General features: G+C 46.1%; 2 annotated features.

Moving 5' to 3' along the window:
• Window positions 3,293-3,793: an enhancer, noted in NCBI's record as "H3K4me1 hESC enhancer chr2:47105752-47106252 (GRCh37/hg19 assembly coordinates)". NCBI's record gives its function as "activates a minimal SCP1, AML or CMV promoter by ChIP-STARR-seq in naive H9 embryonic stem cells {active_cell/tissue: H9 hESC(naive)}" and the evidence as "EXISTENCE:reporter gene assay evidence [ECO:0000049][PMID:30033119]".
• Window positions 3,794-4,294: an enhancer, noted in NCBI's record as "H3K4me1 hESC enhancer chr2:47106253-47106753 (GRCh37/hg19 assembly coordinates)". NCBI's record gives its function as "activates a minimal SCP1, AML or CMV promoter by ChIP-STARR-seq in naive H9 embryonic stem cells {active_cell/tissue: H9 hESC(naive)}" and the evidence as "EXISTENCE:reporter gene assay evidence [ECO:0000049][PMID:30033119]".

Below are 13,779 nucleotides of genomic sequence, written 5' to 3' on the forward strand. Positions count from 1 at the left end.
CATACTAGTTACTGGTACATTGACATTTATGACCAGTTGTGTTTCCATGGTAAGGTTGTGTCAGAGCTGGATGCATGTGCCCTGTTGTTGGATATTTATCTTATTTGTCATTTTTGCGTTGAAACAACGCTATGAATGAATAGTGTTGTAAATGCGTCTGGACTGATCGTCTCTACTGGATAAGTTATTTACAGTGGCATTGCTGGACTAAAGGGTAGACATTTTTTTAAAAAGTTTTCTGATGCATAACACTGTCAAAAGACAAAATTAGGCCAGGTGCAGAGGCTCATGCCTGTAATCCCAGCCCTTTGTGAGGCCAAGGCGAGCAGAGTGCTTGAGGCCAGGAGTTTGAGACAAGCTTGGACAACATGGTGAAAACCCATCTCCACTAAAAATTAGCCAGTCATCGTGGTGTGAGCCTGTAATCGTAGCTACTCAGGAGGCTGAAGCACAAGAATCACTTGAACCGGGGAGGCAGAGGTTGCAGTGAGCCTAGAACATGCTACTGCACTCCAGCCTGGGTGACAGTGTGAGACTGTCTCAAAAAAAAAAAAAAAAAAAAAAAAAAGATAAAATTACATCAAATCTAGTTTAAAGATCTTCATTGTTTTTTATTTGCAATTCATGAATCTGGCAACACCTCTTCTGGAATGAGTGTTCAAAACAGCTGAACAGAGGAGACTGGCTTTATAGACAGAAAAGGGCTGAGGAAAGGAGACACAGTGAACAAAAAGTGGATCTCGGTCATTTTAAAGTTACTCTCCTTATAGGGTTAAAACAGAGGCTTGTTTGGCAATCTGGCTACTATCTTTCACTCTCCTGATTTCTGGGAAGGTCAGATAAACAACTTATTTTTGGCTTTCTGGGGTGGAGCTTCAGCACGAGTGACTCCATTTTGGTTTGGTCTGTCCCATCCTAGCACAGGGGCTCAGTCCTAACCAATGGGCTCTTCTAAATGTATTTGACAATACCTAACCACCAAGAAAAGACTGTACCAGTGAAACTCTTGGGCTCTTCTAAATGTATTTGGCAATACCTAACCACCAAGAAAAGACTGTACCAGTGAAACTCTCGGGCTCTTCTAAATGTATTTGACAATACCTAACCACCAAGAAAAGACTGTACCAGTGAAACTCTCGGGCTCTTCTAAATGTATTTGACAATACCTAACCACCAAGAAAAGACTGTACCAGTGAAACTCTTGGGCTCTTCTAAATGTATTTGGCAATACCTAACCACCAAGAAAAGACTGTACCAGTGAAACTCTCGGGCTCTTCTAAATGTATTTGACAATACCTAACCACCAAGAAAAGACTGTACCAGTGAAATTCTTGGGCTCTTCTAAATGTATTTGACAATACCTAACCACCAAGAAAAGACTGTACCAGTGAAACTCTTGGGCTCTTCTAAATGTATTTGACAATACCTAACCACCAAGAAAAGACTGTACCAGTGAAACTCTCGGGCTCTTGTAAATGTATTTGACAATACCTAACCACCAAGAAAAGATTGTACCAGTGAAACGCCTCCCTCTCCAGGAGCCTATAAGAGTGCACATTCCCTCACACCTGCACCAGCACTGGCCTCTATGATCCTGCAAATGCTTTTAAAGGAGTCAATTCATCCGTCATAAGAAATAAACATTGCCCTCTGCTGCTTAAAATATAGCTTCGCAGGAGAAAATCCAAACTTCCTGGGGAGGGACTGACATCTATTGAACAGATTCTACCACATGTCAGGCACAAGATAGGTCTGCTCTCATTCAGTCCTGCAAGGTAGACATGATTGTTCTCATTCAGATGAGCGAGTGAACGCTTAGAGAAGTTGAGTAATTTGTCCAAGGTCACAGAGCTAAGGAGTGGCCAGAGTTAGGCTCTGACCTCGTCTGAGGACAAGGTTCATGCTCTTTCTCCATGTGGCTTCTGTCTCTCCATCTATGACACAGAACCATCTGGCCCCAACTCCCGTCTTCCAGCCTCACTCCTTCCTCCACCCAGCCAGGTCCCCGCGCGGTAGCCACACTAGTGCCTTAGAGGAGAGTGTGCCCTGTGTTAGCCCAGGCACTGCTAGATGGTGGAATCAGAGAGATTTTAAGATTCCTTATCAGTATTTTCTACCTTGGCGATATTTTACCTATTTAATAAACAAATGGAGGGTTTTTTAAATTTTAAAAAAACCCATTGCCAAGATTCTCTTGGAGAAAAGATTCTCTTGGAGAGTTTCCTGATGTCCCCCAGACACGCGCGTGCACAAACTCTCACACACACACACACCACACACACCCACTCACACACATACACACCACACACACACCCACTCACACACATACACACCACACACCCACCACACACACCCACTCACACACACCACACCCACGCCCACACACCCACACCACACACACCCACACACACCCACTCCACACACACGCACTCACACACACCCACTCCACACACACCCACTCACACACATACACACCACACACACCACATACCCATACACACACACCACACACACACATGCACACACCACACACACACCACATACATTACGCACACACCACACACACACCACACATACACCACACGCATACACGCATACACACCACACACATACCAGACACACCACACACATACACATACACCACACACACCACACACATACCACATATACACCACACACATACACACATAGATGCACACACACATACACAGACACACCACATACACACACATACACATCACACACATATACACACACCACACACATACACACATACACACCACACACACAGTCCACGCACACCACACACCACACACATACACACATCACACATACACACCACAAACACATACACACACACACATACACACCACACATACACACCACACACATACACATGCCACACACACACACACATACACAGACACACCACACATACATTCACATGCCTCTGCCAACACCACACACACACATACACGCCATACACACCACACACTATACACCGTACATACACACCACATACATACACACCACATACACATACACACACTCACACACACACATACACAGACACACCACACATACATTCACATGCCAGTGCCAACACCACACCCACACACACATACACACACCATACATACATACCACACACATACCACACACCATATACACCACACACACCACACACCATACATACACACCACACACATACACACCACACATACACCACACACCATACACATATACACCACACATACAGACATACACACACTCACACATACACGCACACCACACACACATGCACACACATCACACACATACACAATACACACACCACACACATACACATATACTCACCACTCACACACACCACAACACATACACACCACACACATACACATACCACACACACCACACAGATACACACACACCACACATACACACATTCACATACATACACACACATATACATACACACCACACACATACAAACACGCATACACACACACCACACCACACACACACACACACACACACACACACAGTGTCCGCCTGGGCTGGGTGGGCTACAGGCTGTAGGCAGAAGAAAGCAGAGTGCCTCAGAAATATCTTGTGACCCTCAAAGGCCACAAGGGGTAGCTGGAGCCAAGCCCGCCCCAGTCAATTCTCCCACAATAGGCTACTGTCCTTTAAGCATGTCCAAGAGCTACTGCTGGTCTCTGTCCCGCAGGGCCCTGACTTCCCCCGACTCAGGCCAGCTGTCTCCAGCACAGACCATCCACCAGCCAGGCCCGAGGGAAACAGCTGGAACCAAATGACTGCAGTGCCTGCCGCTAAATGACCAGGCCTTCCAAAATAAACAAAGGAAAGTCAAGGGAACCAGGACTGCCAGCATCAACGAGGGAGTCGGCTGAGAGCAGTGAGGTGGGGGCAGAGCCTGGGAACATGTTGCTGGCGGGGGTGGCCAGGGCAGTGACAGGGACTACTCTAAGAAAAGTCCCTCAGCCAAAGGGTAGACATTGGGGAATAGGATGGAGGGCAGGGAACTCCCCCGCTATTCCCACATCCACACACATATACCAGAATGTACACTTTTTTGGAACTTCTGCAATATATTTAAGGCTTAGAGGAAATTAGGCATATATTGGGTGGATATGTAGATGGATGGATAGATGGGTGAGTAGGTAGGTGGGTGGGTGGGTGGATGGGTGGATGGATAGATGGATGAATAGATGGGTGGGTGGATGGATGGATGGATATATGAATGCATGGGTAGGTAGATGGATGGATGGATGGATGGATGGATGGATGGATGGATGGATGGATATATGGATGGGTGGGTAGGTGGGTAGGTGGATGAATGGATATATGGGTGGATATATGGATGGGTAAGTAGGTAGGTGGATGGATGGATGAATGGATGGATGGATGGATGGGTGGATGGATGGTTGGATGGATGGATAGATGGATGGGTAAGTAGGTGAATGGATGGATGGTGAGTGGATGGGTGGATGGATGGATGGATGGATGAGTAGGTGAGTGGGTGGATGGATATATGTCTGGGTAGGTAGATGGATGCATGGACAGATGGCTAAACGAAGCAATGAATGCATGCATTTATGGGTAATGAGTAAATAGGCCCAGGGTTTTTATTTAGGTCAGTAACACCAAGGTGAATCAAGAGGCATAAATTCATACTTGTTGAATCCTTAATGTCATTTTTTAATTATTCAGAAGAAGAAAATTGTTCTGGCCCCAAAAGTTTGCAGTAGCACTGCTTCTAATACAGCAAAATCAGAGTGGCCTGAGCCATGACCTGAGCTGCTGAGTAAATTAAGTTAAAATTTAAATTGTGCAGCTATTCAGATGATGTCTAGATTAGTAGTATAGAAAAGGGAACCACATTTCTGAAAATAATATTAGGTAAGAAAAGAGTTTAAAATGTATAAGTGTGTAGAGCTATGCAGAAAACCAGGGGACAGGTATTTTGGTGGACCAGGGGACACTACAGGCTTGGATATTAGAAGATCTGTATTAAGGCCACTTACATCTCAGACACGTCATTGTAATGTCTCAGCCTTACTTTCCACATCTCTGTGAAATGGGGACAATAAGAAAACCTCCATCTCCTGGTTGTGAGGACTGGGTTAGCTCTTATGTATGAGGGTGCTTTGTAAACTGTAAAGCTCAAGTCACATGCTATGCAAAATTACATATGTTTCTGGGTTGAAATTAGAAGGCAACCCAATAAATAAACTGGTGGGGTGGGGGAAGGGTAGAACTGGTATTCAGGAAAATGCAAATTACAACAAAAATAACACAACATTTCACCCAGACAACAGAAAACAAACAAACAAAAAGTGCACAGAGAATATCCTCTATGCTTGAAACCTGAAACCAGGTTGGGCTGCCTGAACCTTGCTGCCCACCTTGACCAGGCAGAACTGGGTTGTGGACATGGACCATGGAGCCGTGGGATGGGGCATCTGGAGACAGAGGGCTTTGCTGTCTCCTGCTCCCTGGAAAAGAGCCAGTGAATTCAGATTCACTGAGCAACAAGTACCTTCCATGTGCCAGCACCTTCATGGATGTTAGAATGATAGCAAACACTTACAGAGGTTTGCTCTGGGCCAGGGACTTTGCAAGTGCTTTTTATGTATTGACTCACTTAATCCTTATAACAACTCATTGACAGACATAATCAATTTCCAGATGGAAATTTGTCACTTTCCAGAGATAGTCACTTTCCAGATGGGAACACTGAGGCACAGCGAGTTAGCTAACTCTGCCCAAGATCGCTCAGCTGGTAACTGGTAGAGCCAGGCTTAGGAACCCTTCCCACCTCTGCCTAGTCCAACCTCTCACCCCTGCCATGCCCGTCCCATGCTCTCTCCCAAACATGACTGTTTCAGTGTCCTGAGATCACAAGGAGCAGCCCTGAAATCACAATGCAGGTGTCTCTGGTTCCACTCCAGGGCTCTTTCCAGGGAACAAAACTCACTCGTTTGTCAGCAATTGGCCGTTTTTTTCTGGGTCAGTAGGTGTCTGTACTGCATTGGAGCAGTAGACCTGGCCTGGACCAACTCCAGATGCTCGTAGGTGCACGATGCTGTCTCGGGAGGTGCCCTGCTGCCCCATCTCCAGCTGCTACCCTGACCCCAGCACCAGCTGTCTCCTTCCCAGGCTCCATTCCCCCAGGGAAAGGGAGGAGGATCCTCCAGGGGACACCCTGCTCCTGAATGCAGATGGCCCTGGAAAAACACTTGGAAAAGAGAAACTGACTCTGTGACCTGGCCAAATAGCTTACTTCCTCTGATGCATGTTTCCTTATCTGTCAGTACGAAGAATAATAAACATTTTATTCCCAGGTCCAATCCCACACAGGGTTGCAGATGAGGAGGAGGCAGGCTGGGAGTCGTGGGCCATTCAGCCTCAGGTGGGAGGAGGGGCAGGCCTTGTCTGGACTGTGTGCTGATGCTGATGGGTGGACAGGGAGCCTTGGCAGGTCCAGGGCACGGGCTGGAAATCCTGCAACACCAACCCTAACTCACAGCTATTTGGAATTCGGTTCCTAAGCATTTACTCTGCCGTTGCTGCAAATGAACTGTGTGCTGGTGCATGTGTTTGGGCCCCGTGGAGTATGGGGGAGGCAAGGGAATGGAAAGCAGCGGTCAGGTGGCTGAAATGAGCCATCTCTCACTATGCACCAGACTTACCCATTTATTAGTTCACTTAACCCTCATCACAACCTCAAAAAGTGAACATGCTCACCCCCTTTTACAGACAAGGATGCAAAGGCCCATTCTAAACTTCAACCAAGGGATTGGGTCTGGGAAGAGATGCTCACCAGGGCCTCTGGGATCCCGGCTGAGTCACCTGGCCTGGATGTCCATTTCATATCCTCTCTGTTACTCATTGACCGAGAATATGACTTAAATCCCTGTGGGCAATAGCCACTAGGCTCATGAGGAAATGGATAATGACTGTGACGCAGAAGCTAAAAGCCTCAATTACCCTTCATGACCGAAGCGTGGAACTTTTCTAGAGAGAGAAATTTTTGCCTCATAAATTGCACTTGTGAGAAATCAGTGCACGCAGGCTGGTGACCATGGTTACCTCTTCTACAGCCAGAGGCAGCCTGCCCTGGACAGCCGGCGGGGGTCACCTCAGCTCCCACCTGCCGGGAAAGCCTTTGGAAGGAGCACCCGGGGTTGGCCAGAGCAGGATTAGGCCAGGGCAGGCAGCATAAAGAGCCAAGTTTAGGTAAACCCCTGGCTCTCAACCTCAGCTGCTCATTGGCAGCAACTCTAGAGGAAAGGACGGCAGAGGGGCTTTCAAACATCCTGTTGCTTGGGCTCCAATCCCAGAGAATCTGATGTCATTGTTCTGGGTGGAGCATGAGCCCTGGACTTTAAAAGCTGCCCAGGTGATTCTCATGTACAGCTGAGGTTGAAAGCTAAATGGACCTTCCCCTGCCTGGCCAATCAGCCAAGCAGCAAGCTATTAGCAAGAGCAAACTGGGGAGGGAATCAGAAATAGGACAGAGTTCCTGCCCAGGAGAAGCTGACCATGTGGCTTGTGTACATGAAGCCAGATTGCTGACTCCCAGCTCCCATGGGCAACAGAGACCCTGGGAGGAGGCCAGGGTGCAAGGTGTAGCATCTTAGGGAGCAGAAGCTATATCTGATCCAAGCCCAGAGACCCAGAGGGCACTTGGGAGCCACGTGGGGATCTCACTAGTTTTCTGCTCACCACTGTCAGCTTTGGAAGTTGAGGCAATACCTGTTGGCCCAGCAAACCAGCATCTGTCCTTGCCCCTTTCACATGCATTCATTTCTCATTCGCTTAGTTCCTTGCTGGGCCTCATTCGCCAATTCTATTTTTCTTCATAGAACTTGGATCTGTTTGGGGGCTCCCACCATTGCACACAACTGTTGCCCCTCAATGCCATCATCACATGTGCACACGTCCTCTTGGTCCTGCTCTCTTTTTCCTCTGTCATTCATCAAATATCCAAAAGCAGCAGACCTACCTGCCTGAGAATCCCCATTCATTCCATTTACAAACATTTGCAGACCACCTCAGGCATGTGAGGAGCACCAGGATGGTGCTGGGCAGTGTGCTGCCCATATGAGCTAGTGACACAGAGGTAAAGGTGGCTGTGCCTGTGCCCTCAAGGCCACAGTGACTCTCATCACATAATGAGGCGAATCCATTCATTTGATGAGGAGGAGGATGCAGGAAGAGGCAGGGTCTCCCTTTGTCATCCAGGGCAGAGTGCAGTGGCATCCTCACAGCTCACTGCAGCCTGGACCTCCTGAGCTCAAGCAATCCTCTCAACTCAGCTTCCCTAGTAGCTGGGACTACAGGCGTGCCACCATGCCCAGCTATATGTATTTCATATATACGTATATAAACACATATATATATTTACATATGTATATACTAAAATTTATATATACATATGTAAATATATATGTTGCTTTTGTAGAGACAGAGTCTCGCTGTGTTGCTCAGGCTGGTCTTAAACCCTGGCCTCAAGGGATTCTCCTGCCTCAGCCTCCCATAGTGCTGAGATTACAGGCGTGTGTCACTGCACCCAGCCTCCATTTTCTATAATAAAAAAGTCTAGTTCATTTGCATATCAAAGGTCCAAACTCTCACCCAATTTAAACATCGCCCCTGCCGACTCCCAGCCCAATCAGGCTAAACTGCATGTGCTCTGGATTCTCAGGTGTGTTCAGCACTGACTCTCTTGGGAAGATTCGGTGTGTTCTTGGGAGACTCCCCATGGCTGGAGATACCAGCCTACAGTTTCCTGGACTTGACATCTTCTCCTAGAAACTGACGTGACAGGATAAGCCCTGTTTAACATTTCGTTAATTACACAATATTCAAACTTCTGTGGGTTTTTGTTTCTGATGTTGTTTTCTAACAAAAGCATTTAAGGGTATGAATTTTCATCAGAACACTTTTTAAAATTAATATTTGCATCTACTGCTTCCCTTGCCCTTCAACAGTTATGTATGCTCATTGTGCAGTGATTTTTTGAATTCACGAAGGCTTTCATTCGGTCATTCATCTGACAAATATGTATCAAGTGCCTTCTGGTTCTTAGGGATGTGGATACATCAAGAAATACAGTAGTCAAACACCCTGTACTCAGAGAGCTTACAGTTCCCCCCGAGTGTCGAGTGTCGGAGAGAAACTAATAATTATAATGACATGCAATGCAGAAAGTGAAAACAACACAAGTCACTGGTGATCTCAAAGCCCAGAGATGACCATGGTTCACATTTTAGTACATGACTTCCCAGTACCAGCAGTGTGTAGAGCATTATATTGTGAGCATTTTCCCACAGCAGCAAGCATTTTTGAACAAAATGATTTTTTTGTATTTCAAAATGTGGATGAATCATAAATATCTTAATCATGGAATCTCTAAGGCTGAAAGAGTTTTTAATGGGTGTCTATTCTACAGGTGAGTGGAGTGGCAGTAATAATTGGGAAATGGTGGGAACTCTGAATTGCAGTGGCATACTCCTTTAAGAAAGGGAAGGAGCCAGGCACGGTGGCTCACACCTGTAACCCCAGCACTTTGGGAGGCTGAGGCGGGTGGATTGCCTGAGCTCAGGAGTTTGAGACCAGCCTGGGCAACACAGTGAAACCCTGTCTCTACTAAACTACAAAAATTAGCCGGGTGTGGTGGTGGGCACCTGTAGTCCCAGCTACTTGGGAGGCTGAGGCAGGAGAATTGCTTGAACCCAGAAGGCGGAGGTTACAGTGAGCCAAGATTGTGCCACTGTACTCCAGCCTGGGCAACAGAGCAAGACTCCGACTCTAAAACAAAAAAAGAAGAAGAAGAAGAAGAAAGAAAGGGAAGGTAGCTGCTTCTACATTTCCACAAAGCCCAAGGTTGAGAGAATCCACTTTGAAAGCTAACTTTTTCTCTTTTAAAGGGAAGATACTGTCTTTCCTGGAGCTACAAGGCTGGACCCTTTACCACCTTCTTACTATGAAGGCTGGATCTGGCTCAAAGCCCCTTTTCTCAACTGCAGCCCAACTGCTGCTGAATTTCAACTTCACTTAAACTTTGGAAAGGTCCGGGGCATATTTTCAGCTGGGAGAGGTTTTCTTTTCCTTTATTTTAATCAGCTCGTAAGTCTATAAGCAGCTTGGGCAGTAAAGTTCAGACTTTGAGAAACCAAAAACTAAACCACCATTTGCATTCACACCAGGGTGGACAGTCTCAGCTCTCAAGAATTTTATGTTTGTCTTGGAAAAAACTGAGAGGCTAAGTGCAGCCAAGGGAGTGAGAAGGAAATGATGCTTCAGCCTGAGTGCTGCTTTTCTCTACAAAGATGGGGGTGACGATCAGAGAACCATAATGCAGGCAAGGAATCCAGTCAAGGAAGACGGTAGCTGTGCAGGTGGTTAGTGTGAAGGATGTGAGACTATCCTGCATGGCCCTCGATGTGTCTGGGCAAGGGAATTCACTAGCCCATCTGCCAATGGCGACCTCCAGGGCTTGACTTGGTCATCATCCTCAGGAGATTCCCATGTGGGTATTTAAGCTTTCCAACTAAACTTTAAGCTTTGGTTAGGAATTTTGTCGGTTTGGGTATTAGGTTTGTTTTAACACCACCTGCCCACCCAGGTCTCTGTACACAGGCTTTACTGTCATGGGATGGGATGGGGGGAAGCGCAGTTGGCCCTCTGTATCTGTGTTTTCTACATCCGTGGATTTCAGCTAACCACAGATCAAAAATATTCAGGGGAAAAGTGGATCGTGTCTGTGCTGAACATGCACAGACTTTTTTTCTCAACATTGTTCTGTAAACAATACAACTTAGCAACTATTTACATAGTATTTACATTGTATTGGGTATTATAAGTAATCTAGACATGATTTAAAGTACACAGGAGGATGTGTATTGATTATATGCAAATAATACAACATTTTTTATCAGGGACTTGAGCATCCATGGATTTTGGTATCCACAGTGTCCTTGGGGGGTGGGTCCTGGAACCAATCTGCTATGGACACTGAGGGACAGCAGTACATCGAAAGTTTTTGTTTCTGCCTCGTTTAAACACCACATGACTCTGAGCAAGTCAACTTCTATGAGCCTTGGTTTCCTCATCTGGAAAATGTTTGTGGTGTAAGCTTATGCCACATGAAATACAGCTTGTTAAACTGTAAAAGATTACATAAAGTTACCATTATCCTTCCTGCTAAATGCTAATCATCCACACTGAGATTTGAATTTCATCATGAAGTATGTTCATTTCATTTCATTCTCACCCTGGTAAGTTCCTAAGGAGAAAACATTATAGGAAACTTCTAGAGCGAAAGAATAAACTACTAATCACTAGAGCCTAGCACTGGGCTAGATGCTTTCTCATACTTGAAGACTCATTTATTCCACAGCTCTGTGAGGTTAGAAATATAATAATCCCCTTTCAGATGGAAAGAAACAGGCTTGAAGTGAGTTTCAGTGATATCTTCGAGGTTACCCAACTGAAGAAAAGTCACAGTTCTGTGCTGGTAAAGTGACTCTGAAGAAAGAGAGAAAAAAAAGCTTGCCCATTACTGTGGTGTAAATGCTCCCACTGTGGCTGATTTCATGCCCACCGGTATGAGCTAGCCTCTGCACACTACTGGAGGAGCTGCATTTGAATGCAAGCTCAGGTTTCCTAATTTCGGGTAAAGATCATTTCCTGAGCCCAGGGCAGTGACACTCCTCCCCAAGCAAAGAATCCCCTCACACCAGGAAGGACCCAGAGCTGGTTGGATCACTTAGGCCTCCACCCTCAGACCAACCTAACCAGATCCTCTGAGGCAGGGGCTGAGGATCTGCATTCTAGACAAAGACCTATACGTGCACTGTAATTTAGGTACCACCCAGCCCTCAGCACCAAGATCAAAGGCCTCTCCCACTCCTGTCTCCCAAAAGCACTGCAGGGAGGAGCAGACATGTCTCAGGAGACAGAAGACAGCATTCTGTAGCTGTCCCCTGTACTGGAATTCTGATTGGGTTCCTATGGGCTGAATCATGGTGGTAAGCTGATCGCTCTGTCTCTGTCATTAAACTCTCTTTATGCTTATGCTGCTTTTCACCAAATCTAAGATTCTACTGATTGTAAGTCACATCATTACTTTTTTTTTACCATCAAGAAATAAAAACTGTTGTCAAAGATGTTAAACTATGAAAAAGTACATCTAAGAATCATGAAATATGTTATCAGTGGGTGTATATACACTCCTTTATCTCCCAGTTTTACAATAGCACAGTAAATATTCTATTCTTTGAAGCCTGAGGTTGGGTCTTACTCATCTTAATTTATGTCCTCAGAGATCCAGCAGGCTTGGTTGAATGAATACATGCCTAGCAACATATCAAAATAGACAACTTATTAATTAGTCATCAATAAATGCCCCAGGTTTTGCACCAAGCACTTTCTATTTAATTTCCATAACAACCCAATGAAGTAGGTGCCAGACTTTCTCCACTTTACAGAAAAGGTAACTGGGGCTTGGAGAGGCCATGTAACTGGTAAGAACCCTGCCTGGGACTTGAATCCCAAGTCTGAAGCTCCTGATACCATTCACAATATGGAGAGATCCTTGAGGATATTGAAATGTTTTCACCAGGCCGGGTGCAGTGGCTCCTGCCTGTAATTTTGGCACTTTGGGAAGCCAAGACAGGTGGATCGCTTGAGCCTAGGAGTTCTGGGCAACACAGTGAAACCCCGTCTCTAGAAAAAATACAAAATTTAGCCAGGCATGGAAGCATGTGCCTGTAGTCCCAGCTACTTGAGAGGCTGAGGTGGAAGGATCACCTGAGCCCAGGAGGTCGAGGCTGCAGTGATCTGAGACCACTGCACTCCAGCTTGGGTGTCAGAGTGAGACCCTGTCTCAAAAAAAAAAAAAGTTCACAACATAGAATGGTACAGCACTACTATCTTAGTCTGTTTCTCAAGGCTTGACAATAAATAAACCTGTTTGATTTCTCTTTGGTGCTTGTGTTGCAAGAGGATGGATAACATTTTACAAAGCAAAGTTACCTTATTTTCTCACCTCCTTTGGACTTTTAGCTTTCTCAGACTTTTTGAAGAGGAATGGTAGCAGGAGAGTTTTCTCAGCTTTGGTAACTTCTGGAGGACTTGCTGAAATTAAAACTTAAGGATTCATGTTCCCATGGAAGCCCCAGGGAGCAAAGCAGTCAGCGCCCTCCCTCTCTCTCCCTCGGGGTCTGGCCCTTTCAATCTACCCGGTTGTCCAAATTCAGATTGTGTGCCATTGAATCCCACGTCGCTCATCTGCTCATCCCCACACTCACTGCCGCCCCTGGGGTGGCCGTCTCCGCTGGTTAGCCATCCTCATGAAAGGGTGGGGAAAATGCCTTTTCCCGTCTGCTCAGCTGCTACCAGTTTGGAATTTTTCAGGAGGTATTTGTATTGGTGCAAGAAAGCACAGTGGCAAGGGAGCTGACAGGGCGTGGATTCCCTCTCCGAGGTCTAGGTGCAAACTGCTTTGGACACTTCAGGGTTTACAGGGTCCACAGCACCACCATCACCTCTCCCTTGTCTGACCATCACTTATGTTTGGGGAAAGGCTAATAATTCCTTTCCCCAAAGCAGGTAAGTCTGAGCGTTTTGATTCTTTTCACATTCTTATTCATTTTCGAGTGATTTTGGGGTGTGTGTGTGTGTGTGTGTGTGTGTGTGTGTGTGTTGTGGAGTTTTTCTGGTGGCCATTTTATACAGGGAGAGGTG

This window comes from Homo sapiens, chromosome 2 (genome assembly GCF_000001405.40).
Source record: "Homo sapiens chromosome 2, GRCh38.p14 Primary Assembly".
NCBI classification, from domain to species: domain Eukaryota; kingdom Metazoa; phylum Chordata; class Mammalia; order Primates; family Hominidae; genus Homo; species Homo sapiens.